This window comes from Homo sapiens, chromosome 11, assembly GCF_000001405.40.
Source record: "Homo sapiens chromosome 11, GRCh38.p14 Primary Assembly".
Taxonomy (NCBI): Eukaryota; Metazoa; Chordata; class Mammalia; order Primates; family Hominidae; genus Homo; species Homo sapiens.
The window spans coordinates 61,258,286-61,284,709 of record NC_000011.10 but is presented as its reverse complement, the minus strand read 5'-3'; the positions used below and the strand labels follow the sequence as shown (position 1 = coordinate 61,284,709).

At 50.5% G+C, this 26,424-nt stretch overlaps 1 protein-coding gene across 12 annotated transcripts in view, besides 2 other annotated features; it reads left to right on the top strand.

Moving 5' to 3' along the window:
* VWCE (von Willebrand factor C and EGF domains) overlaps positions 1–26,424 on the top strand; it is a 37,031-nt gene extending 10,607 nt beyond the window's left edge. For 2 of the 12 annotated variants that reach the window (XM_017017342.2, NM_152718.2), the window contains 15 exons: positions 1,805–1,921; positions 2,796–2,924; positions 3,475–3,917; positions 3,993–4,086; positions 6,234–6,316; positions 8,030–8,117; positions 10,126–10,211; positions 11,394–11,511; positions 12,950–13,035; positions 15,692–15,788; positions 17,166–17,248; positions 19,498–19,588; positions 19,672–19,754; positions 20,133–20,223; positions 25,398–26,424. In XM_017017342.2, the coding sequence (XP_016872831.1) occupies positions 1,805–1,921; positions 2,796–2,924; positions 3,475–3,917; positions 3,993–4,086; positions 6,234–6,316; positions 8,030–8,117; positions 10,126–10,211; positions 11,394–11,511; positions 12,950–13,035; positions 15,692–15,788; positions 17,166–17,248; positions 19,498–19,588; positions 19,672–19,754; positions 20,133–20,223; positions 25,398–26,035 (2,327 nt within the window). In that variant the 3' untranslated portion in view covers positions 26,036–26,424. Of the gene's footprint in view, positions 1–1,804; positions 1,922–2,173; positions 2,233–2,795; positions 2,925–3,474; positions 3,918–3,992; positions 4,087–6,233; positions 6,317–8,029; positions 8,118–10,125; positions 10,212–11,393; positions 11,512–12,949; positions 13,036–15,691; positions 15,789–17,165; positions 17,249–19,497; positions 19,589–19,671; positions 19,755–20,132; positions 20,224–25,397 lie in introns of those variants that run through there. The other 10 variants (XM_047426552.1, XM_017017341.1, XM_047426553.1 and 7 more) reach the window with 9 other exon arrangements.
* Positions 2,322–3,243: an enhancer, noted in NCBI's record as "H3K4me1 hESC enhancer chr11:61048939-61049860 (GRCh37/hg19 assembly coordinates)". NCBI's record gives its function as "activates a minimal SCP1, AML or CMV promoter by ChIP-STARR-seq in naive H9 embryonic stem cells {active_cell/tissue: H9 hESC(naive)}" and the evidence as "EXISTENCE:reporter gene assay evidence [ECO:0000049][PMID:30033119]".
* Positions 17,195–18,394: an enhancer, noted in NCBI's record as "CDK7 strongly-dependent group 2 enhancer chr11:61033788-61034987 (GRCh37/hg19 assembly coordinates)". NCBI's record gives its function as "activates an origin of replication core promoter dependent on BRD2, BRD4, P300/CBP, MED14 and CDK7 cofactors, with strong dependence on CDK7, by STARR-seq in HCT116 cells {active_cell/tissue: HCT116}" and the evidence as "EXISTENCE:reporter gene assay evidence [ECO:0000049][PMID:35650434]".

Sequence of the window (26,424 nt, the reverse complement as noted above, 5' to 3'; positions counted from 1 at the left end):
TCCTGAAGTGCTGGGATTACAGGCGTGAGCCACCCAGCTAGGCCTCTCATGTCTCTTCTTAAAAGGACACTAATCCCATCAAGAGGGCACACCCTCATGACCTCATGTAACCCTAATTATCTTCTTATCTACTTATCTTACCTGCATATCTTCCAAATGCCATTACATTGGCGGTTAGGGCTTCAACACGATTTTTGAGGGGACAGAGTTTAGTCCATAGCACTCAGGCATTGGTCTGCTGTGTGCCCTCCTTGCCCCTCCCCATGATGTGTACGTACGTACATGGGCACTTACAGAGATAGGATAGTTGCTGAACTCTCAGGTCCTGGGTCCTGGGCTAAGCACTTTACACGCATTTTCTCCTTTCGCCCTCACAATTACCCAGTGAAGTTGGTATTATCTATCTCCATTTTATTGAAAGGAACACTGAGGCTTAAGGAAATTGTTACTTGCTTAAGATCCCATTAGAGCTAAGGTTTTTTTCTTCTTTCTTTCTTTGTTTTTTTTTTGTAGAGATGAGGTCTTGCTGTGTTGCCCAGGCTGGTCTCAAATTCCTGGCCTTAAGCTATCCTTCCCGCTTTGGCCCCCAAAGGGCTGGGATTCCAGGCATGAGCCACTGCACCCAGCCAGAGTTGGGATTTGAACCTAGTCATTCCTTTGCTTGTTCCCCTTACCCCTGCCCAACGTTGGTCTTGAAGATGTTTCCACATCAGGGTAAATAGACTTGCCTTGTTCCTTTTAACTGCTGACTCTGCAGTGCAAATATTTCATAGTTTACTAACTCTTCTCTTATTGATGAACATGGAGATTATTTCCAGTTTTTCACAATTTCAAACAGCACTAGGGAACTTTTACAGAGGAGGTTCCACTGAAGCTGAGTTTTGAAGTATGAGTAGGAGTTTTCCAGCCAGACAAGAGGGAAAGGCATTCGAGGCAGACAGAGAACATGGGCAAAAGTGGAGCACCAAAAGAGCGTGGTGCATTTGGAAGATGGCAAGAATTTAAGCCAGTGGCCAGGTGCAGTGGCTCACGCCTGTAATGGAGGCCAAGGCAGGTGGATCGCCTGAGGTCAGGAGTTTGAGACCAGCCTGACCAACATGGTGAAACCCCATCTCTACTAAAAATACAGAATTACCCAGGCATGGTGGTGCATGCCTGTAATCCCAACTACTTGGGAGGCTGAGGCAGGAGAACTGCTTGAACCCAGGAGATGGAGACCGCAGTGAGCTGAGATCGCGCCATTGTACTCCAGCCTGGGCAAAAAGAGCAAAACTCTGTCTCAAAAAACAACAACAACAACAAAAAAGAATTTAAGCCAGAGTGAAGGTCAGGGGCAAGGAAGGAGGTGGGCAAGGCAACCAGGACTGTGTTCAAAGGCATCGTGAGCTATGGGGCGGCATTGCTGTCTTACCCTAAGATGAGGTCTGTGGCCTGTGGGAGCAGCGGAGAGGTTTTGAGCAGAAGGGCCCTGATTAGAAATGCCCTTTGGTCAGAACATCCTGGAGGCTGTGCAGAGGATGGCTTGAAGGAACCTAGGTAGAGATAGACACACTGGAGGCTCTGGCTATTCTCCAGACTAGAGATGAATGTGGCCGGGCTAAGGGGTAGCAGTGAGGATGAGAGACGTGGGCTGGTCCAGAGAGTATTTAGGACTGGATGTGGGCAGTGCAGAAGAGGGGCAGCTAAGGTGGTTCCCCACAGCCCTGTGTGTATAGGAGATGGAGATGAGGGAGGAAGAGGGGACCATATATTTCCAAGGTTCTGTTGGGGAAATGAACCCCAGTCTTGTCCCTTTTCCTGCCAGACACTGACGAATGCCTAGGGACTCCCTGTCAGCAGAGATGTAAAAACAGCATTGGCAGCTACAAGTGTTCCTGTCGAACTGGCTTCCACCTTCATGGCAACCGGCACTCCTGTGTAGGTAAGGCGGGGAGGACCCTGTGGTCTGCACACTTAGGCTGCCAATCAGGAGGATGGACAGGGAGCCCAGGGACCCGGGAAGGTTAACAATTAGACTTTCTGGTCCTCTGGAGCTTGAAGGGGCTTGAGCCTTTGGCTCAGAGCCTGCCTGTCCCTGGGGTTGGTGTGGCTCTGCATGAAGACCCTGTCTTGGACTTTTCCTGGCCATTTGCCACTTTCATCCTGTTATGTTTCTCTTCCGCTCCTCTCCCAGATACACCCCAAGGATTCCTCTCTGCTCACCCATTTTCTTGGCTGCCTTTGCTCCCCTTGGTAAATAAAGCACGTTATGTCTTGGTTCCTCTGGTTTAGAAGGAGACCCTGTTTTCTCAGCCCATTAGCAGAAATTTCCAGAAAGGGATTGGCATGTTTGGTTTGAGCTTGGCTCATGGGTTTAAGGTGGGGTCCCATGGGCCTGAAAAAAGACCTTGTTCTAGCGGAGTTAGGTATTTGTCCCGAAGCCTTCCTTCAGCAGCCCAGTGAGTTTTGAGACTTTTTTCGGAAAGAAAAACGGGAGGGTGGAAGGTTTGGAGATGAGCTTCTCATTGGGGCTTACCCCTACCACGCAGCAATTAATTACCGCTGCATAGTGCTGGGGCTGAGTCTCTGATACTCGCATTAAATACCTGCTCGATGTGTGAACCTATTAACAAGACAAGCACTAGATTTCAGCCCCGCTCCCAGCTGTCTGAGTCACATCCCGCACCTCGGGGCAGGCATGGACCCTGTAAGAACATGGCAGAGAAACTCCCCAAGTGTTTTGAGCTAAGGGATGGGCGGAAGAAGGGCTCCGTAGCCCAAACAAAGCAGCTGTCCGCAGCGAGGCTCTCCCGCAGATGTAAACGAGTGTCGGAGGCCATTGGAGAGGCGAGTCTGTCACCATTCCTGCCACAACACCGTGGGCAGCTTCCTATGCACATGCCGACCTGGCTTCAGGCTCCGAGCTGACCGCGTGTCCTGTGAAGGTGAGCGCCAGGCCCCTCCATCCCGGCGGCTGGCCACGCCCCCTCAGTGCCTGCCCCAGCTACGCCCCCCCATAGCCTGGCCCCTCCCCGTCACGCCCTCCCGGCGCCCAGCCACGCCCTCTCAGCTCCTGGCCCCGCCCTACCCCGGCCCCGCCCACCTGGCGCTAGGCTCCCTTTCTGCTCTGCCCTTGTTTTGAGTTCATCTTGTTTGTTACTTTCAACACTCCACTTTCTTCCTCGCTTTCTTTTTCCACTTCTTTATCCATTCTTCCTTCTTCTTTTCACTGTTTCCCCAGCCCTTCTGTTTTTTTCCCAAATGATAAAAGGATAAAACCCAACAGGAGTCCGAGTATCCTGGGCTACAGGGACAGCCATTTCCGTGGTTCGCCCTGCCAAACGGCGACAGTGTCCCCATAAACATAGTAGAATGTTGCGCAGACCACGGGGGGTGAACAGGGACTTGTGGTGGTGGAGCCGAGCCCAGGTCTCCCTAAACCCTGCCTCCTGTCTCTGCTGTCCACCCCAAGAGACCTCCGTGCTTCTGTTTCAGCTTTCCCGAAAGCCGTGCTGGCCCCATCTGCCATCCTGCAACCCCGGCAACACCCGTCCAAGATGCTTCTGTTGCTTCCTGAGGCCGGCCGGCCTGCCCTGTCCCCAGGACATAGCCCTCCTTCTGGGGCTCCAGGGCCCCCAGCCGGAGTCAGGACCACCCGCCTGCCATCTCCCACCCCACGACTACCCACATCCTCCCCTTCTGCCCCTGTGTGGCTGCTGTCCACCCTGCTGGCCACCCCAGTGCCTACTGCCTCCCTGCTGGGGAACCTCAGACCCCCCTCACTCCTTCAGGGGGAGGTGATGGGGACCCCTTCCTCACCCAGGGGCCCTGAGTCCCCCCGACTGGCAGCAGGGCCCTCTCCCTGCTGGCACCTGGGAGCCATGCATGAATCAAGGAGTCGCTGGACAGAGCCTGGGTGTTCCCAGTGCTGGTGCGAGGTGGGTACTAGGGGTCCCCGGAGCTTCCTTGGTCTGGGGCCTTGTGGTGGCTCTAACTCCTGCTTGTGCTTCTAGGACGGGAAGGTGACCTGTGAAAAGGTGAGGTGTGAAGCTGCTTGTTCCCACCCAATTCCCTCCAGAGATGGTGGGTGCTGCCCATCGTGCACAGGTGAGAGCTGGTGCCAGGGAAGGACATAGTCCTGCCTCTTCCTTTCTCTGCACCCTCCTGCAGCCAAAAGGCTGTTCTTTAACATTAGCATACATTAGAATCTCCTGGAGGGTTTACTAAGCCACACTTCCCTTGGCGCTGCTCCCAGAGCTTCTGATGTAGTAGGTCTGGGATAGGGCCAGAACATGTGCGTTTTGAACAGGTTCCCAGGTGATACTGACGTGGCTGGTCTAGGGACCATACTTTGAGAACCACTCATTTATGCTGTAATATGCCTCAAGGGGGACTTTTCATCTTCTGGGCATCTGTTTTCAGCTTCATTCGCTCATTTTCATTTATTCAGTCATTCATTGAGCCTCTTTAAATCCACTGTGCAGTCCCCTTCTCCTGCCCAGTTACCCTCCTACAGGCGGAGGAGTAGTTGTTTCTAAATTCTGCCCCCTTTTTGACTCGCCCCCGCCATCTGCTGATGGTTTTTCATTTGCTTCCCATTGCTGGAAGGATAGGGACCCAAATTCTTCACAGATCCTTAACAGAGCTTCTCGAAACTTGCTCTGCAGTTGAATCAAGGGGATTCTTATTAAAATGCAGATTCTTGGCTGGGCATGCTGGCTCAAGCCTGTAATCCCAGCACTTTGGGAGGCCGAGGTGGGCGGATCACTTGAGCCCAGGAGTTTGAGACTAGCCCCGTGTCTATAGGGAGGACCCGTGTCTACAAAAAATACAAAAAGTTAGCCAGGTATGGTGGCGTGTACATGTAATCTTACCTGCCTGGGAGATTGAGGTGGGAGGATCACCTGAGCTCAGGAGGTCGAGGCTGCAGTGAGCCATGTTTGTGCCACTGCACTCCAGCCTGGGCAACAGAGTGAGACCCTGGCTAAAAAGAAAAAAGAAAAAAAGCAGATTCTCATTCAGTTGGTCTGGGAGGGGATTCTTTGTCTGATGGTCTTGGTGATATGACACTGAGGTTGCTGGAGATTGAGCAGTAGTTAAAAAGTCTTCCTAAGGGTTAAAATGGAAATGCACTGGTTTTTTTTTGTTTTTTTGTTTTTGTTTTTTTTTGAGATGGAGTCTTGCTCTGTCACCCAGGCTGGAGTGCAGTGGTGTGATCTCGGCTCACTGCAGCCTCCGCCTCTAGGGTTTAAGCAATCCTCCCAAGTAGCTGGGATTATAGCCACCCACCACCAAGCCTGGCTAATTTTTGTACTTTTTTTTTATTGGCAACAGTGTTTCGCCATGTTGGCCAGGCTGGTCTTGAACTCCTGACCTCGAGTGATCTGCCCGCCTCGGCCTCCCAAAGTGTTGGGATGACAGGCATGAGCCGCTGGGCCTGGCTTGATTTTCTTAATGACTGTTGTGGGCTATGTCCCCGCAACACGCTGAGTCTTGAGTGCGAAGTATTGGGTACTTTATTGCCCAGGTTTTGGATCCTTCCAAGATCCCTGCAGGGTACATGGTGGTGTTTTCATTTTGCAGTGAAGACAATCTGGGTACTAGAGAGGTGAAGTGACATGTCCAGGGACACGCTGGTTAACGAAGCTGGATGGCCAGTTTTTTTTTTTGTTTTTGTTTTTTTGTTTTTTTTAAGACGGAGTGTTGCTTTGTCACCCAGGCTGGAGTGCAGTGGCGCGATCTCGGCTCACTGCAACGTCTGCCTCCCGGGTTCAAGCGATTCTCCTGCTTCAGCCTCCCGAGTAGCTGGGATTACAGGCACACGCCACCACGCCCAGCTAATTTTTGTATTTTCAGTAGAGACGGGGTTTCACCATGTTGGCCGGGCTGGTCTCAAACTCCTGACCTTGTGGTCTGCCCGCCTTGGCCTCCCAAAGTGCTGGGGTTACAGGTGTGAGCCACTGCACCTGGCCTCAGGTTTTGAAACCAGGCTGCCTTTCCTGCCCTCTGGGAAGAAAATGTTGTGCTCTCCAGACAGTTGTGGGTTTGTGAGACATGAATGGACCCTTCTGGGGCCACCACGGCTGATCCTTGCAGGACCACACAGTCAGAGTACCCTGAATCTACCACTCCTGGGACACCTAGGGCAGTGAGAGAATGTTCCAGGTACATTAAGCATGGAGAAGCAGCGAGACCTCAAGTTTCCTCTTCTTTGAAGAGGTCTGATGCCTCTACCTCCTATTTGTCCTTCAAAGGCTGTTTTCACAGTGGTGTCGTCCGAGCTGAAGGGGATGTGTTTTCACCTCCCAATGAGAACTGCACCGTCTGTGTCTGTCTGGTAAGCGTCACAAGATCCTCAAAGCCTCGTGGGTGTTTTCTTAACCTTTGGGGGTTTTAGAGGAAGGGGAAAAGACCGGATGTTAAAGGTGAGCTTGTTGAGTGGAAGGGAACATTCTCAGGTTGTGGAATTTGGTTAGAAGCTGTAGAATTTAAAAGGGGGAGGGAAGTGTAAAACACGAAGGTTGGTGGAGTAAGGGAGGCTTCTGCTCCGCAGCAGACAGCCAGCAGGCACACAGGGTCCGTCTGTTTAGGAAGGGGAGGGGACGAAACTCCCTTGGAAACTTCCCACCAGGGAAGCTGTTTTTCTCTCCAGGCAAAATATTTGCCAGCACAATAAAGGTCTCCACATTTGGGAAAAAGAAGGCTCATTACCAAACTCAGCTTGTTAAAAGTATTTGGCTTTGGGCAAATTCACTCCTGCAAGAATAGTTATTAAGCACTTACTGTGTGCCTGCCCTGCCAGATGCTGACGTTGCAGTGAGCTGAGATCGCGCCACTGCTCTCCAGCCTGGGCGACAGAGCGAGCCTCTGTCTTAAAAAAAAAAAGAAAATGCTGATTAGGAGCATCTACTGAGTGCCAGGCCCAGGGTTGGTGCTTCTCATCTCTTTCTTCACCGAGGCTCCCAGCAGCTCTTCGGGGTCAGCTTTACTGCCCCTATTCTGCAGATGAAAAGACAGAGGGTGGGAGGTGGCAGAGCTGGGATTTGAGGTCTGTCTGAGCCCAAAGTCAGGGCTCTGTCTACCAGCCCTCACTGCCACCCTCTGACCATCTTTATTTTTTGTTTTAGAGACAGTGTCTTGCTCTGTTGCCCAGGCTGGAGTATAGTGGTGCAGTCATAGCTCATTGCAGCCTCGGGCTCAAGCGATCCTCCCATCTCAGTCTCCCAGGTAGCTGAGACCACAGGCTCATGCCATTACACCCGGCTAATTTTTTTTTTTTTTTTTTGTAGAGGCAGGGTCTCGCTGTGTTGGCCAGGCTGGTCTCAAATTCCTGGGCTCAAGCGATCCTCCCACCTTGGCCTCCCAAAATGCTGGGATTACAGGGATGAGCCACTGCACCGGGTCATGACCATCTTTAAGTGTCTCTTGCTCTGGCATCAAAGGTGGATGCTGCAGTGTGAAATCAGGGGCATGCAGACAACCACCAGCACCCCTTATCGAACTCTTCCTGTGTGCTACATGAAAGCACAGCAGTCAAGTTCCCTCCCTCCCTCCCTCCCTCCTTTTTTCTCTCTTTTTCTTTCTTGTTTCTTTCTTCTCTTTCTCTCTCTTTCTTTCTCTCTCACTTCTCTGTTTCTCTCTTCCTTCCTCTCTCCCTTCCCTCCATCCCTCCCTCCCTCCCTTCCTTCCCTCCCTCTCTCCTTCCTTCCCTCCCTCCCTCCTTCCTTCCTCTGTCTCCTATCCTGCCCCTCTCCTCTCCTGCCCTTCCCCTCCCCTCCCCTCCCCTTCCCTGTCTTCTCCTCTCCTCTCCTCCTCCCTTTCTCCTCTCCTCTCCCTCCCCCTCCCCCCATCCCTCCTCTCTCCTTTCCTCTCCTCTTTTCTTTTCTTACTGATGGCATCTCATTTTGTTGCCCAGGCTGGGGTGCAGCCTTTAAAGGTTTCTTGTGGCCTCCTTTAGGCAGCTTTCCTGTTCGAAGGGCCTGCTGTGAGATGGGGAATGAACCCTGTTCCACACCCGCACCCCCAGTGCCCTCTCTTGCCTCCTCCTCAGGCTGGAAACGTGTCCTGCATCTCTCCTGAGTGTCCTTCTGGCCCCTGTCAGACCCCCCCACAGACGGATTGCTGTACTTGTGTTCCAGGTAAGTGACACTCTTGGAGCATTTTGCTTTTTTTTTTTTTTTTAGATTTTTTGTAGACCTCACTATGTTGCCCAGGCTGGTGTTGAGCCTCAGGTGGTCCTCCTGCTTCAGCCTCTCAAAGTGCTGGGATGACAGGCATGAGCCCCCAAGCCCAGTTTTGCATTTTGCTCCTTTTTTTTTTTTGAGAGGGAGACTTGCTTTCCAGGCTGGAGTGCAGTGGCATGATCTTAGCTCACTGCAACCTCCGCCTCCCAGGTTCAAGTGATTCTCCTGCCTGAGCCTCCGGAGTAGGGAGTAGCTGGGATTACAGGCGCCTGCTGCCACACTGGGCTAATTTTTGTATTTTTAGTAGAGATGGGGTTTCACCATGTTGGCCTGGCTGGTCTTGAACTCCTGACCTCAGGTGATCCACCTGCCTTGGCCTCCCAAAGTGCTGGGATGACAGGCATGAGCCCCCGAGCTCAGTTTTACATTTTGCTTCTTTGTGTGTGTAGGGGAGCATGTCTTTTGAGTATGCGATGGAGTGGGGTGAGTGGAGGAGTGAGGGAGGAGATTGCTTTCTGCTTTACAAACTCAGATCAAGTGAAGCATTTCAAAGTGCCTGTTTTTATTGTGCACTTATGTGCACAGCAGTTTGAGGCTAGACTGTGCTCACAGCCCAGCTTTCCCCTGCCTTAGGAGGCACCTTCAGCTCAGGCAGGATGGAGTTTCAGTCCACCCTTGTCATTGCTCTGTCCCAGGGCAGGGAAGGGTCTCTCCTTAGCCACTAATGAGTTGGTCCTTTGTTAAAAACAAGGTTTTCTTTCCTGGGATGGCTTCATTGCTGTCATGGATGTTCCCTGCTGACTCTGTGCCCCTTGCTGTGTGGGGCGCTTACCAGAACTCCATCTCATGGAACCCTTTATGTCACCACTGTAAGGCAGTACTATTTATTGCCCCATTTTATAGATGGGAACACTGAAGCTTGGAAAGTTCAAGTCACTGCCTAAAGACACACAACCATTAAGTAATGGAGCCGAACTTGAATTCAAGTCTACCTGATTTCAAAGCTGGTGTTCTTTTTAAGTGTTTTTTTTCTTAATGTTTAAATGTTACATTATTTTTAATTGACTTACTTTTGCATAGTCAGTGTAGTCTCTGTGAGATAGGAACCCTTATCGGTCCCATTGTACAGATGAGAAAACTGAGGCTTAGAGAGCTTTAAGTGTGTTGCCCAAAGTCATTCCCTGGTGAGTTGTATAGCTCGGATTTGAGCCCAGGGCAGTCTGACTACTGGCAGGTGGGCCTGGGCAGTTTCTAAGGCTGTTTTTTCGCTGGAGTGGATCTTCAAATCAAAGCCTCTCCCCAAATTCTCACAGCCTCCAGGGGGTGGTAGCATCATTTGTCTAAGGTAGCACCTTTGTCTTAGGTGTTGGACAGTCTCTTTTTATTTCTTTTTTTCTGTTACTTTTTAGTTATTTAGGGCTTCCCCTGCCTTTTTGGCTGAGGACCTCATCTTACATGTGACTCATTCTTTGTCAGACTTTTTTGTTGTTGTTGACATGGGGTCTTGCTCTGTCGCTCAGGCTGTAGTAGAGAGGTGCAATCACTATAACCTCAACCCCTGGTTTCAAGCCATCCTCCTGCCTCAGCCTCCTGATTAGCTAGGACAACAGGCACGCACTGCTGCACTCAGCTAATTTTTTAAAGTTTTTGTAGAGATGGGGTCTCGCTGTTTTGACCAGACTGGTCTCAAACTCCTGGCTGCAAGAGATCCTCCCACCTTGGCCTCCCAGAATGTTGGGATTACAGACATGAACTGCCACACCCACCCCTTTGTCGGCATGACTTGTTTTGTGTCTGGGGTTTGGAGGGGGAGAAGTGCTTTGGGTTCCTGGGCACGGAGCATGCTGTGGAGTGTTGTGGGTGTGTGTTAAGTGCCCCGGGGCTCCCTACCCATTTGTTCCCCCCTTTCTTTAGCTGCCTCTGCCCAAAGACCTTGAGTTGCTTCTCCCTTTCTCCTCTGCAGTGAGATGCTATTTCCACGGCCGGTGGTACGCAGACGGGGCTGTGTTCAGTGGGGGTGGTGACGAGTGTACCACCTGTGTTTGCCAGGTATGGTGGCTGAGCGTCCCAAAGCCTGTGGAATTGATGGAGAGGGGAGCGAGGCACAACACTTTACTCAGGTTGACATGACTAGGAGAACATGAGTTGTCATACAGCAACAGGGAAACTGAGGAAGCAAAGGCACTACAGGGATCCCCCAGGTCTTCCCACAGTCTCTTTGAACTTCATCTTTCAACACTGCTATTTACAGAGCACCTACTGTGTGCTGGGGACACAGCTAAGCACAAGGAAGCCCCAGTCCCCTTGGTCCGGAAGCCCACTGCCTAGGTGGGTTGATGGCCGGGTGCCCAGGGCTCCTGATGCCTTTTTGGAAGGCGGGATGTTAAGTAGAGACCTGGAGGGTGGTAGGGACTCATCAGGTGGGGAGCTGAGGTTGCTGTACCCAGCAGAGGGTGGAGGATTGGAGATGGCCGTTCTGCCTGGAGCATGGAGAGAGTCAGGCAGGCGGCAAGGCTGCAGGTAGGGGTTGCATCTTGGGTTGTGTTCCCTAGAAGCAGGGCCAGTGCAGGCGACTTACCAAGGGAGTGCTCTCAGAAGAAACTGGCGAGGGAAGAAGGGTGGGGCAGGAGAGGAAGCAGGGTGAAGGTGTGGTCTCACACTGATCCCTGGGAAGCTCTGGGCAGTGGACCGTGCTGGGGAGCAAGGCTCTTGCACCTCAGGGCCAGTCAGTTATAGAGACTCTCTCTGCTCCCCAGGGAGTGGGGGTGGTGACCATCTAGGCATCTCTGGAGGACGCAGCTGCCGTCAGCCACTGGCAGTACTTCGGAGACAGGACCTGGGTGGGCACTGACAGCCTCTGCCCCTGACTCAGTCCTGAAGGGCTCCACCAGCTGCATTGAGGGCTTTGCACTCAGTGAAGCTGCCAAATGGTTTAGGCAGTAGGGAGCCTGGATGGAAGCGGGAGGGTGAGAGATGGTGAAGGCCGTGCCTATTCCCAGGATGCCCTCCTGGGCTCACACCCAGCCCCCATTGAAGGACTCCCAGTTCCCCCCACCCCACTGTTGTGCTCCTTGGAGATTTCTTTGTCAGTTTCACTTTAGTAGATTTCTTTGTCAGTTTCACTTGAGTAGCCGGGAGGGTGATGGCAGGCAGCCTGCGGCCTCCTCTAGCTCTCCATGGTCCCCAGGCAGGGTGCCGCCCTCATCATTCTGTGCCTGGGCTCTCTTCCAGAATGGGGAGGTGGAGTGCTCCTTCATGCCCTGCCCTGAGCTGGCCTGCCCCCGAGAAGAGTGGCGGCTGGGCCCTGGGCAGTGTTGCTTCACCTGCCAGGAGCCCACACCCTCGACAGGTGAGCTGGTCCAGGGCTGCCCCGACACAGGGCATGGATACTGGGGAGAGAGGCTGAGCTTCACCTGCTGCTGAGACTGCTGGTGTGTGTGCTGTTTGTGTGTGTGTGTACATGTGTCTTTGTGTGCGTGTGTATGAGTGTGAGTTTTTGTGTAGTGTGTCTGAGTGTGTACCTGTGTGTGTAAGTTTGTGTGTCTCTGAGTTTGTGAGTGGTTATCTGTGTGTTGGTGTGTTAGTGGTACCTGCGTATGTGTGTCTTTGTATTTATGTATATGAGTGTGTGTCTGTGTTTTGTGTAGTATGTCTATGTGTCTCTCTGTGGGTGTGTGTGTATGTGTCTGTGTTTTTGTGTGTGCCTGGGTGAGCATGCATCTTTGTGTCTGTTGTGTCTGCATATGTGTGTGTGCATGTAAGTGTATGTTTGTATGAGTGTGTCTGCGTGAGAGTAAGTTTGTGTGTCTGTGTGTGAGTAGTGTGCGTCTGTGTGAGCATGTATGTGTATGTGTGCATTTGTATGAATGTGTGTAAATTTGTGTACATGTGTCTTTGCCTGTGTACGAGTGTGTATCTGTGTTTTGTGTAGTATGTCTTAGTATGTGCCTGTGTGTGTGTGTTTCTGTGTTTCTGAATAGTTTTCTGTGTGTGTGTGTCAGTGTGTTAATGGTATCTGTGGGAGTCTGTGTACATGTGTCTTTGTGTATGAGCATGTATGTGTATGTTTTGTGTAGTATGAGTGTGTCTCTGTGGTATGTATGTTATGTGTCTGTTTTTGTGTTTTTGTGTGTGCCTGTGTGAGCATGCATGTCTGTATGTGTGTATGTGCATGTAAGTGTATGATTCTATGAGTGTGTCTGTGTGTAAGTTTGTGTCTCTCTGAGTAGTATCTGTGTGTGTGTGTCTGAGCATATGTATGTGTATGTAAGTGTATTTGTATGAGTGTGTGTCTGTGTGAGTTGTATCTGTGTGTGTATGTAAATGTGCATTTGTATGAGTATGTGTGTGTCTGTGTGCATGTGTGTCTGTGTTGTATCTGTGTGTGTATGTAAATGTGCATTTGTATGAGTATGTGTGTGTCTGTGTGCATGTGTGTCTGTGTTGTATCTGTGTGTGTATGCAAATGTACATTTGTATCAGCATGTGTGTCTGTTGTATCTGTGTGTGTATGCAAATGTACATTTGTATCGGTATGTGTATGTCTCTGTGCATGAATGGTATCTGTGTGTACATGTATATTTAAGTGTGCATTTGTATGAGTGTATGTGTATCTGTGTGAATTGTATCTGTGTAAGTGTGCATTTGTATGAGTGTGTGTAAGTTTGTGTGTCCGTGTGTGAGTGATATCGGTGTCTGTGTGTGTTTGTGCGCATGAGGCATCTGTCCTTGCTGCTGTTGTAGTCTAGGTCTTGTGCCGTCTTTTCTCTGCCATTGTCCTCATCCAGGCTGCTCTCTTGACGACAACGGGGTTGAGTTTCCGATTGGACAGATCTGGTCGCCTGGTGACCCCTGTGAGTTATGCATCTGCCAGGTGAATGACAACCTGCTCGCCTTCAGCTGCTTTACCTGGCTGCCCCGCCTCACCCAGAGGAGACAAGCGTCCTGGCCCCTCCAGAGGCTGGCCTCAGGCTGGCCGCAGTCTCCCTCCGGTGCTGTCAAGTTCCACTTTCACAAAAAGGGTTGGACCGAGTTTATCCTGCTCTCAGTAGATGTGTGAGGACGATGGTGCTTGGCAGTTGGCCTTAAGAAGTGTGTATTGTTGGCCAGGTGCGGTGGCTCACGCCTGTAATCCCAGCACTTTGGGAGGCCGAGGTGGGTGGATCACAAGGTCAGGAGATCGAGACCATCCTGGCTAACATGGTGAAACCCTGTCTCTACTAAAAATACAAAATATTAGCCGAGCGTGGTGGTAGGTGCCTGTGGTCCCAGCTACTTGGGAGGCTGAGGCAGGAGAATCGTTTGAACCCGGGAGGAGGAGGTTGCAGTGAGCTGAGATCACGCCACTGCACCCCAGCCTGGCGACAAAGCAAGAAGGAGTCTCAAAAAAAAAGAAAAAAAAAGTGTGTATGGCCAAGAGTGGTGGCTCACGCCTATAATCCCAACATAGCTGAGGTGGGAAGATTGCTTGAGCCCAGGAATTTGAGACCAGCCTGGGCAACATGGTGAGACCCTGTCTCTACAAAAAAATACAAAAATTAGCTGCATGTAGTGACATGCCCCTGTGGTCCCAGCTACTTGGGAGGCTAAGGTGGGAGGATCGCTTCCTCAGCTCCTGAGGCTGACCCAGGAGGTCGAGGCTGCAGTGAGCCGTGATCACATCACTGCATTCCAGCCTGGGCAGAAGAGAAAGATCCTGTTTCAAAAAAAAAAAAAAAAAAAAGTGTGTGTAACACAGTGTGCATGTGCAGGGAGCTGCTGGCATGAGGAGTAAGAATTAGGAATCTTCATAGAAGGTTTTCCCCAGGCATGGATAACTGAGGGAGTGGGGTAGCCTGAGACCCAGTTGTTCAGGCTGTTTCTGTGAAATTGCAATGTTTTCTTCATGACTGCAAAACATGTGACCTCACCATTTCAGAAATGAGTAAGGAGGTGCATGAGTTTGAGTCAGATCAACAACAATGCAAACACAGCTATCCACCCAGAAATACAATTGTTTTAGCTCATTATTGAAGTACTAGTAATTGCAGTTTTTTACCATTACTTACAATGGCAGAAACCGCAATTACTTTTGCACCAATCTAATACATGCTGGCTTTCCTTTCTACTTTAAGAGCTTCGAGTCTTTTAGAGGTTTATTTCTCAAAATGAGGTCCCTTGCACCTGCGTTGGGAGCCCTGGTTAGACGTGCAGCCTTTCGAGGCCCTGCCCACACCTCTGCTCTCACAAACTGCATTTTAACCTCCAGGTGATTTGTGTGCACTTTCATGTGGGAGAAGCCCAGCCTTCTAGTGCCTTCGATGAGCCGTTTGTTAAAAAGCTGTAAGCTGGGCCGGGCGCGGTGGCTCACGCCTGTAATCCCAACGCTTTGGGAGGCCGAGGCAGGTGGATCATGAGGTCAGGAGATTGAGACCATCCTGGCTAACATGGTGAAACCCTGTCTCTACTAAAAATACAAAAAAAATTAGCTGGGCGTGGTGGCGGGCACCTGTAATCCCAGCTACTCGGGAGGCTGAGGCAGGAGAATGGCGTGAACCCGGGAGGCGGAGCTTGCAGTGAGTCAAGATAGAGCCACTGCACTCCAGTCTGGGCAAAAGAGTGAGACTCCGTCTCAAAAAAAAAAAAAAAAAATGCTGTAAGCTGAACACGTCTCATTGAAATTAGAGTTGGGAGGAAAGTCCTTCCTGTGCTGTCTTCTCCTTTATGACTGATTTCGGGCACCCATAATCAGTCACCAAGAGAGTGATACAAAAGGTTCAAACTGTCAGATTGTTTTTGTGTTTTTTTCTTTTAAAGAAAAAGAGGCCGGTTGCGGTGGCTCACACCTGTAATCCCAGCACTTTGGGAGGCCAAGGCAGGTGGATCATCTGAGGTCAGGAGTTCAAGACGAGCCTGACCAACATGGTGAAACCCCATCTCTACTAAATATACAAAAATTAGCCTGGCGTGGTGGCGCATGCTTGTAATCCCAGCTACTCGGGAGGCTGAGGCAGGAGAACCATTTAAGCCCGGGAGGTGGAGTTTGCAGTGAGCCAAGATTGCGCCATTGCACTCCAGCCTGGCAATAGAGTGAGACTCCGTCTTAAAAAGAAAAAAAAAAAAAGAAAGAAACCTTGTATGGCACTTTGGCTCTCTGAAATAGACACTTCTGGTGGCATTGTTTTTTCTAAAAATAGGGTTTTATGGTACTCTGTAGGTTCCTGGTGAGCCAGGGTTCCAGGGAAAAGCTGAGAAAGGATTTGGATGGTGGTGACGGTGCAGGCTTTGGCTGCTACAGGAAGCGGAGGAGACCAGAATCCCAACCCTGACCTTCCTTCTCCTTAAAGATGCATAGACTTCCTGGAAGGCTCACATGGCCTTTCTCAAGTAGCCGATCCTCTTTAGGGGAGACCTGCCATCTTCCAGCCGCGTCATGTTGCCTTTCAGGGCAAGCCTTGGCCAGTTTGCAGCGTTGCTGTTTCTTTTGCAGGGCGGGGAGGCAGGGGCCGGTGTCACCGGTGGGGTCTTGGTGAAGTTCCTCCTTCCTCCAGGCAGATGGCTCGGTGAGCTGCAAGAGGACAGACTGTGTGGACTCCTGCCCTCACCCGATCCGGATCCCTGGACAGTGCTGCCCAGACTGTTCAGCAGGTAATCCCCTGCCTCTGCCCCAAGCCCCCAGGGCAGGGCATCTCAGGCATCGGGCTCCTTAAGCCCTATACAGCCTTCATCTCATGTCGTCCTAACAACCCCAAGGGACAACCCCATTGCACAGATAAGGAAACTGAGGTAGAACAGTTTACCCAAGTCAGGCCCCCTCTGAGTGCTCGAGGCAGATCTGAAGACACGCAGGGCTTACGGTGCAGGTGGGTGGTACAGGAGCTGCACCTGTGAGACAATTGGAGAACAGCAGGAGGAGAGAAGTTTTAACAGTCATTTTTGCCTTTTAATAGTCATTTTTACCTTTTCCATGATTTCAGAAGTAATGTTTTATTATAGAAAATTTATCTTATTTTTTTGAGACAGAGCCTTGCTCTCTTACCCAGGCCGGAGTGCAGTGGCGTGATCTCAGCTCACTGCAACCTCCACCTCCCGGGTTCAAGTGATTCTCCTGCCTCAGCCTTCTGAGTAGCTGGGATCACAGGTGCCCACCACCATGCCTGGCTAATTTTTGTATTTTTAGTAGAGATGGGGTTTCACCATGTTGGCCAGGCTGGTCTCGATCTCCTAACCTCAGGTGATCTGCCTGCCTTGGCCTCCCAAAGTGCTGGGATTACAGGCATGAGCCAATGCACCCAGCTCCATTATAGAAAATTTAGAAAAAAAGTACAGAAAGCAAAAATAAAGAATATTAGCAAGGACCTATTAGCACTGTTAAATTTGTGTTTATGTCCTTCTAGTCTCTTTTTGTGATGCTCACACACATTTAGTAGATGTACATTATATATATAATATATATATAAACATACATATATTTATTTATTTTATTTTATTTTTTTAAAGCTTCCCCTACTGTCTCATCACCTGCTTTTACACTTAGCAGTATATGATAGTATCATCCAAGGTGGCATCACTCACATCAGGCTTCTGGGGCTGTCAGGAATCAGAGAGGGGAGTAGTGTTGGGGAATGTTCTGGACAGGCGGGGTTGGTGGTTTGAGTGAGTTTGGAGGGCAGAGAGGAGGTTGGGAAGATGCTGTGGGGCCTCACACACACCTCGTATTTCCCAGTTCTTCCACCTGATCCCCCCTGGTGAGGAGGTAGAGGATGAATCTCCCCACTCTTCAGGGTGAGGACACTGAGGCCAAGACACTTGATCCTTTTGCTGAATCCAGTGGGAAAAAAGTCAATACCCGATTCAGACAATCCAAACAGGCGTTTTGTCCCTTCCCTAACTCCCAGGGTGACTGCCTGGGGAGGCACATGGCCTCCCCTTTGCCATCCAGATAAGCCTGTGACCTTGGCCCTGGCGGGAAGCCTGGTGCCTGGCCACTCCCAGCTGGTGCTCAGCGCATGCTCTCTCTGGCAGGCTGCACCTACACAGGCAGAATCTTCTATAACAACGAGACCTTCCCGTCTGTGCTGGACCCATGTCTGAGCTGCATCTGCCTGGTATGGACCACCCAGATCTGACTCCCGCCCCTGGAAACTCCCCCACAACTGACATCGGCTCCTGAATCCCAGAGGCAAAATCCAGAGACCTCCAAGACAAGGGATGCTTCTGGTTCATGGTGGAAGTCAGCTCCCTCCAGTCCTGCCCAGGGTGACCCTTTAGACAGGGCCAGAGAAATTTTTTTTGTTTGTTTTTGAGATGGAGCCTTGTTCTGTCACCCAGGCTCCCAGGTTGGAGTGCAGTGGTGTGATCTTGGCTCACTGCAACCTCCGCTTCCCGAGTTCAAGCGATTCTCCTGTGTCAGCCTCCCAAGTAGCTGGGACCACAGGCATGCACCACCACGCCTGGCTAATTTTTGTATTTTTGGTAGAGACGGGATTTCGCCATGTTGGCCAGGCCGTTCCTGAACTCCTGACCTCAGGTGATCTGCCCACCTCAGCCTCCCAAAGTGTTGGGATTACAGGCATGAGCCACTATGCCCAGCCCAGAGAAATATTTTTAAACCTGGCTGGCAAAGTCCTCTGCTTCCGGGTTACCCCCTAGAGAGAGTCTTAGGGATTCTTGATGAGGGTGGAGGTGAAACGCACAAACCCAGAATCCAGTACTGGAACCTTTTCAGTAGACCCATGTGGTCAAGCTCTTGCAGTGTGCCACGCCCTTCATAGGCATGCACTCAGCTAATCCATTCAAGAGTTTATCATCTCATTCTTCTGGATGAGAAAACCAAGGCACAGAGAGAGTCTTTGCTCAGATCCCGTAACTAGTTAATCAAAGTACTGAGAATGGAACCCTAGTATTGTGATTCTGAGATGCATATTTCTTCTCCTGGGTCATACTGCCTCTCAGTCTGAAAAAGCATGTCCCATAGTATCATTTAGTTTTTGGAAAATGAAAAAAAAATTGTTTTTTTTTTGAGACAGGGTGTTGCTCTGTCACCCAGGTTGAAGTGCAGTAGCGTGATCTTGGCTCACTGCAACCTTGACCTCCTGGGCTCAAGCGATCCTCCTATGTCAGCCTCCCAAGTAGGTGGGATCACACCCAGCTGGGATTACCACCACACCTGGCTAATTAAAAAATTCTTTTCATAGAGATGGGGTCGTGTTGTATTGCTCAGGCTGGTATGGAACTTCTGGGCTCAGGCAATCCTCGCACCTTGGCCTCCCAAGGTTTGGGGATTACAGGCATGAGCCACTGCACCCAGCCAAAAATTTTGTTTTTAGCTTTTTTAAAAATGTAGCTAAAAAATTTTACATAAAAAAATACTGAGACAGGATCTTGCTCTGTTGCCTAGGCTGGTCTTGAATTCCTGGCCTCAAGTGATCCTCCTACCTCAGCTTCCCAAAGTGCTGGATTATAGGTGTGAGCCACTATGCCTGGATGAAAAAAATAATTATTTTATTTTATTTTTTTTTTTTTGAGACAGAGTCTCACTCTGTCGCCAGGCTGGAGTGCAGTGGCACAATCTTGGCTCACTGCAACCTCCGCCTCCCAGGTTCAAACGATTCTCCCGTCTCAGCCTCCTGAGTAGCTGGGATTACAGGTGCGCACCACCACGCCCAGCTAATTTTTGTGCTTTTAGTAGAGTCGGAGTTTTGCCATGTTGGCCAGGCTGGTCTCGAACTCCTGACCTCAAATGATCCTCCTGCCTCAGCCTCCCAAAATGTTGGGATTACAGGTGTGAGCCACCACTCCGGGTAAAAAAATTCTTCATGCTTAGCATGCTGACGCCCTGAATGCGGGATGACGCTGCTTTGCTGGTGTGGGTGCAGATGCGGTATTTCTTTGGTGATCAGTGAGCCTCAGCAGAGTACATGCGTGACAAGGGACACGGTCTGCAGAAAGATTGAGAAACTCACGGTAAACAGCCCTGAGCTACTTACCCTGAGTGACCCACTGCACGTAGGCCCTAGTTGTTCTCAGCCTCGGGCTTTGGGGAACTTTGGCCCCTGGATCTTTCTCTATCGGGTTTTGGTGCTTATCTTTTCTGGGCAGTTTATGCAACAGGCACCCGTTAACAGATGCCCTCCGTGGACAAGTCCATGTTCTTACCTTCGAGGGGCTTGAATTCTAGTGGGAAGTTGGACCCCAACAGAGAAAATGCGCCCCCTGCCCCACTGCCCCACCATGGACTCCTCCCACAATGTTGATTGTTCTGATGGACACTCAGTGGCTATAGGAGCGGCATCTTCCTGAGTGTCTTGTCAGCTGCCCTGAACCGAGGGCCTTGTGTGTTTTCTGTGTCCTGCAGCTGGGCTCAGTGGCCTGTTCCCCCGTGGACTGCCCCATCACCTGTACCTACCCTTTCCACCCTGACGGGGAGTGCTGCCCCGTGTGCCGAGGTGAGTGGGACCAGCTGCCCCACGTGCCAGGTTCCCGGCCAGGCCTCGGCTCTCATGGGCTCCTGTCTCCCCTTCCTCCACAGACTGCAACTACGAGGGAAGGAAGGTGGCGAATGGCCAGGTGTTCACCTTGGATGATGAACCCTGCACCCGGTGCACGTGCCAGGTGAGCTGGGCCTGGGAACCCAGGAGCGGCCCCGCCAGAGGGCAGCTTCTTGCCTTTTGTCCCTTTGCAAAACATGGAGCCCTTTAGCCAGCATAAATCCATCCTCCTGCCATCCTCCGCCTTTAATTAACTGCCAGAATATCTTTGGTTTTGACCATCTCCTCCCTCTGTGGAAGTCCAGAGGGAGAAGTGGTTTCCCAAAGGGGGTCCTGCCATAGCTGGCTTTACCTGTTCTCCAGGCGAGGGCTCAGGCACTGCAGCCTCTGTCCTGGGATCTTTCCGTGGGTCCTGCTGCTGGTGCAAGAGGCCCTTGAGGGCACTGCCCAGGGCAGGCAAGATGCTCTGGGCTTCCTCATGGGGTTCCTTCTGCTTCCCCAGCTGGGAGAGGTGAGCTGTGAGAAGGTTCCCTGCCAGCGGGCCTGTGCCGACCCTGCCCTGCTTCCTGGGGACTGCTGCTCTTCCTGTCCAGGTAAGTGGGTCTCTGGGTCCTGGAGTTTCTCCGCCATCTTCTTCCATTTTACTTTTCTTCCCCGGTACATAGAACTTGTAAAGGGCTGGATAAGAGAAAGCCATGTTCAGAGAGGGAACACGGCTCGCGCAAGGTTGTACAGCTGTGCTGTGGCCTGCTGACCCTCATCCCGTGCTCATGATGCCACACACCATGATGTCTGTTTATTTGCACTCCCTTTTTCTTCTTCTTCTGCTTTTTTTTTTTTTTTTTTTTTTTTTTGAGACTGAGTCTCCCTCTGTCACCCAGGCTGGAGTGCAATGGCGCTATCTCACCTCACTGCAAGCTCCGCCTCCCGGGTTCACGCCATTCTCCTGCCTCAGCCTCCGGAGTAGCTGGGACTACAGGTGCCTGCCACTACGCCTGGCTAATTTTTTTGTATTTTTAGTAGAGATGGGGTTTCACCGTGTTAGCCAGGATGGTCTCGATCTCCTCACCTCGTGATCCGCCCGCCTCAGCCTCCCAAAGTGCTGGGATTACAGGCGTGAGCCACTGCGCCCGGCCTGCACTCCCTTTTTCTTCTTTATCCCCTTTCTTAACCTCTTCCTATGCTTTCTTCTTTATTTTAAATTACAACATGGGAACTGAGTCCGTTTTGCAGAAGAGTAATCTCTAATATGTGTTGAGCACCCACGGTGTGCCGGGACACCTCATGTGTCTACACCCCTGCAATACTCTTGTCATCCTCCTGTGCCAGGTGAGAAAACAGGCCCAGGCAGGTGAAGTGCTGTGCTCAAGATCACATAGCTGATTGGTAGTAGAGCCAGGGTTTCAGACTGGAGTCGATGCTTTTAGATAGGACAGTGGATTGATTCCCAAGAACTGACGCCACTGAACTCCAGCCTGGGCCACAGAGAGACACTGTCTCTAAACAACACAAAACACAACACAACACATATTTCTCCTGTCTAGCTGAGATTGTGTACCCTTTGACAATCATCTCCCCATTCCCCTCGCCCCTGCCAGCCTTCGTAACCACGATTCTATTCTCTGCTTCTTTGGCTTCAACCTTTTTAGATTCCACATAAAACTGAGATTTTGCAATAGTTGTCTTTGTGTGTCTGGCTTATTTCGCTTAGCATAATGTCCTCCAGTTTCATCCATGTTGTTGCAAATGACAGAATTTCCTTTTTTTTTTTTTTTTGAGGATTCTCACTCTGTCACCCAGGCTGGAGTGCAGTGGCGCGATCTCAGCTCACTGCAACCTTTGCCTCCCAGGTTCAAGTGGTTCTCTTGCCTCAGCCTCCTGAGTAGCTGGGATTATAGGCGCACACCACCATGCCCGGCTAATTTTTGTATTTTTAGTAGAGACAAGGTTTCGCCATGTTCGTCAGGCTGTTCTCGAACTTCTGACCTCAAGTGATCCACCCACCTCGGCCTCCCAAGGCACTGGGATTACAGGCGTGAGCCTGTAATTTCCTTCTTTTAAAAGGCTAAATAGTATTCCATTCTGGATAAAGAAATGTGGTATATGCACACAATGAAGTACTATTGATGGATGCTTAGGTTGGTTCCATAGCTTGGCTATTGTGAATAGTGTCACAGTGAACACAGGACTGCAGCTCTCTTCCCCAAACTGACTTTAAATCTTTTGGATAAATACTCAGCAGTGGGATTGCTGGATCTATTTTATGTTTTTTAAACTTCTAGGAAGACAGGGAATTTTTTTCACTGATGGTGGCCTGAATTCCCTTTTTTATAAAATATTTGTTTAACTCCTTTGACCTTTTGAAGAGTATGTTCTGTTTTCGGGGGCAGCTCTTCAGATCTGTGGATGATGAGCTTTTAGGGCGGGTGGCGCCAGGAATATCCATTGAGCCTTCAAATCCATCATGTTGGGGACATTATAGATTGTACTTCATTGTAACCACCACAAACCTCTCTGCATGCTAGTGGATATTAGTCCCCTGACTGTCTAGAGACTGATTGCTAGCTAATGTGCCAGGCAGCATACTGAGCATTTTATACCTTATTTAAATGTATTACCTCATTTAAATGTTCATGGAGTGTTCCAGCGTGGCTGCTATGTTATCTCCATTTTGCAGGTGGGGAAATGGAGGCTCAAAGAAGTTAAGTTTCTAGTTGGTGTGTAAGACTTAAGCCTAGGTCTCTCTTATTTCCTATCCTGTCCTCTTTCCCACCGTGCCCTCCTACCTCCACCTGGGGAAACTGAGACCCAAAGAGGTGACCTCCAGGTCTGGCGTGGTGGCTCACGCCTGTAATCCCAGCACTTTGGGAGGCTGATGTGGGTGGATCGCCTGAGGCCAGGAGTTTGAGACCAGCCTGTCCAACATGGTGAAACCCTGTCTCTACTAAAAATAGAAAAATTAGCCGGGCATGTTGGTGCACACCTGTAATCTCAGCTATTTGGGAGGCTGAGGCAGGAGAATTGCTTGAACCTGGGAGATGGAGGTTGCAGTGAGCTGAGACTGCGCCCTGCCCTCCAGCCTGGGCAACAGAGCAAGACTCTGTCTCAAACAAAAACAAAAACCAAGAGGTAACCTCCAGAGCCCAGCTCCTTCTCCTGAAGCACACTATGTTTACCACCTACCTCTTATTAACAAGAGCTCCCTTTAAGGAAAAACAACTTTTTATTGAAGTAGAATATGAATTGCTTTCTTTTGATGATTTTTTTTTTTTTTTGAGACAGGGTCTCACTCTGTTGCCCAGGCTGGAGTGCAGTGGTGCGATCACAGCTCACTGCAGCCTCGACCCCTGGGCTCAAGCAATCCTCCTACTTCAGTCTCACAGGTAGCTGGGACTACAGGTGCATGCCACCCTGCCTGGCTAATTTTTTGTTTCTATTTTTGTTTTATTTCCAAGCCCATGAAGTGATAAACACTTGGTTAATTTTTTTACTTTTTTTTTTTTAGAGACAAGGTCTTGCTATGTTGCCCAGGCTGGTCCCAACTCCTGGACTCAAGCAATCGTCCCGCCTTGGCCTCCCAAACTGTTGAGATTACAGGCATGAGCCACTGAGCCCAGCCTCTTTTGATGATTTTTTTAAAAGTATAACAGCTTTCTAAAGATAAAGTTCATATGTCATACAATTCACACATTTAAAGTGTATGATTCAGTCATTTTAAGCATATTTTTAGAGTTACGCAACCATCTATTAATATGAATAGTTGATTTTTAAAATATAATCATTCCAGTTTTTTATGTGCTTGACAACGTCTGATTTTTCCTTGATCATACCTTCGATACTCTTTCTTCTTTTTTTTTTTTGAGATGGAGTCTCTCTCTGTTGTCCAGGCTGGAGTGCAGTGGCATGATCTTGGCTCACTGCAACCTCCACCTCCCGGTTTCCAGCAACTCTCCTGCCTCAGCCTACCAAGTGGCTGGACTACAGGCACCACCATACCTTGCTAATTTTTGTATTTTTAGTAGAGATGGAGTTTCACCATGTTGGCCAGGATGGTCTCAAGCTCCTGACCTCAAGTGATCTGTCCACCATGGCCTCCCAAAATGCTGGGATTATGGGCATGAGCCACTGCGCCTGGGCCGATACTTTTTCTTTTTTTGCTTCTTCACTCTTCATTTTCTTTTTGCTGAGCTTCTTCCTTCTTTCACAGATGATTCCTGACTTTCTGGTGGTTTATCTTAATGATTTTTTGACTTTACAATGATGTGAAACCATCAAAATTTTGCTGTATTTTGTATTTTGAATTTTGATCTTTTCCTGGGTTATCAATATGTGACACATGGATATTCAGCACTTTATTAAAAAATAGGGATTTACTTAGATGATTTTGCCCAACTGTGGGCCAGTATAAGGGTTCTGAACACGTGTAAGGTCAGCCAGGGTAAGCTGTGGTGTTCAGGAAGTGAGCTGTATTAAATGCATTTTTGCTGGGCACCGTGGATCACACTTATAACCCCGGCACTTTGGGAGGCTAAGGCAGGAGGATCACTTGAGCTCAGGAGTTTGAGACCAGCCTGGGTAACAAAGTAGGATCCTGTCTCTACAAAAATAAAATAGAACAGAACAGAACAGAACAGAACAGAATGCCAGGTGTGGTAGCATGTGACTGTGGCCCCAGCAAGTAGGACAGCCGAGATGGGAGGATCGCTTGAGCCCAGGAGGTTGAGGGTACAGTGAGCCATGTTTGCACCACTGCACTCCAGCCTGGACAAGTGAGTGAGAACCTGTCCCCCCCACCCCAAAAAAAAGCCTTTTTTTAAATTTTGGTGAAACGGAGTCCTGCTCTGTCTCCCAGGCTGGAGTGCAGTGGCACGATCTCAGCTCACTGCAACCTCTGCCACCTGGGTTCAAGTGATTCTCGCGCCTCAGCCTCCCGAGTAGCTGGGACTACAGGCACGCGCCACCACGTCCGGTTAAGTTTTGTATTTTTAGTAGAGATGGGGTTTCACCATGTTGACCAGGCTGGTTTTGAACTCCTGACCTCAGGTGATCCGCCGCCTCGGCTTCTCAAAGTGTTGGGATTACAGGCGTGAGCCACTGCGCTTGGTCAGAAATGCATTTTTGATTTACAGGTTTATTGGGACGTGACCCCATCGTAAGTCAAGGAGCATCTGTGTTTATTTTCTCCTTGTGTACTGAGCCTTTATGATATGCCAGGCCCTAGGCTGAGACTTTTTAAAAAATTCTTCAAAGAAACTATTTTTTAGAGCAGTTTGATGATCATGGCAAAATTGAGTGGAAAGTACAGAGAGTTCCCATATGCCTCAGACTCCACATGATACAGCGTTGCCCCCTATTAGCACCCCATACCAGCGTGGCATGTTTGTTATAATCGGTGATCCTACACTGACACTGACATGTCATTGACATCCAATGTCTATAGTTCACATTGAGGTTTAGGCTGAGACTCTCCGTGCACCCTTTCATTCACACTCAGTCCTTACTGCTGTGCCCATTTTACAGATGAGGAAACAGAGGCCCAGGAGAGTTGCATGCCTTGCGTGAGGTCACACAGCTAACTGCCTGCCTCCCTCCGTTCATGGCTCCTTCAGTCTTCCCTTCCTGGAGGCAGGAGCTGGCTGGTCCTCACCAGGTGTGCTGAGGCCCCTCTGAGGACAGAGCTTGGGTGTCCCTGGTATACCTTGTCCCAGAGCCACCTTGGCCACTGGAGAGAGCCATTGTGCATCTCGTTTCACCCTCGTCTCTCTAGATTCCCTGTCTCCTCTGGAAGAAAAGCAGGGGCTCTCCCCTCACGGAAATGTGGCATTCAGCAAAGCTGGTCGGAGCCTGCATGGAGACACTGAGGCCCCTGTCAACTGTAGCTCCTGTCCTGGGCCCCCGACAGCATCACCCTCGAGGCCGGTGCTTCATCTCCTCCAGCTCCTTTTAAGAACGAACTTGATGAAAACACAGACTTTACCTACAAGCCCGGCAGGAGCTCATGGTCCACACTCACTCGCTTTGGGGCTGACAGCCACTTTCCCAGGGGAGCCTGGGGCCTCCCCTCGACTCTCACCAGGGCCTTCGACCCCTCCAGGAGCCCCCACTCTACCTCTAGCTTCCCCAGGGGCTCCTCAGCCACCTCCTGTGACTCCAGAGCGCTCGTTCTCAGCCTCTGGGGCCCAGATAGTGTCCAGGTGGCCTCCTCTGCCTGGCACCCTCCTGACGGAAGCTTCAGCACTTTCCATGATGGACCCCAGCCCCTCGAAGACCCCCATCACCCTCCTCGGGCCTCGCGTGCTTTCTCCCACCACCTCTAGACTCTCCACAGCCCTTGCAGCCACCACCCACCCTGGCCCCCAGCAGCCCCCAGTGGGGGCTTCTCGGGGGGAAGAGTCCACCATGTAAGGAGGTCACTGTGTCCGGGAGACTCTGGAGAGAGGACCTCTGCCAGTGGCCCAGGGTGTGTGCAGGGCAGCTCCAAGGATGAACCTGGTGGGGATGCCTGGGCTCCCTCCTGCAGGGGCCCTGGTGAGGATGGAAGACCCCCAAGGCTGGATGTAACCTTGTTCCCAAGAAGTGTTTGGAATGTGCTGTAAGAATGGAGGAAGTCGTTTCCACTGTCAGCATCCTCCCTGGACCGCGTGGCTGGCTCATCTTTTGAGAAGGGTTGGGACTGCCAAGTTCTCCTGGAGGAAGAGTTGCGTCCGGCTGGGATTCCACTCACTGGGACTGTACCGCCAGGTGTCATGCGTCTCTCTGAGGTTTCCTGATTAAAGGTTGTCTCGGTTTCCCCA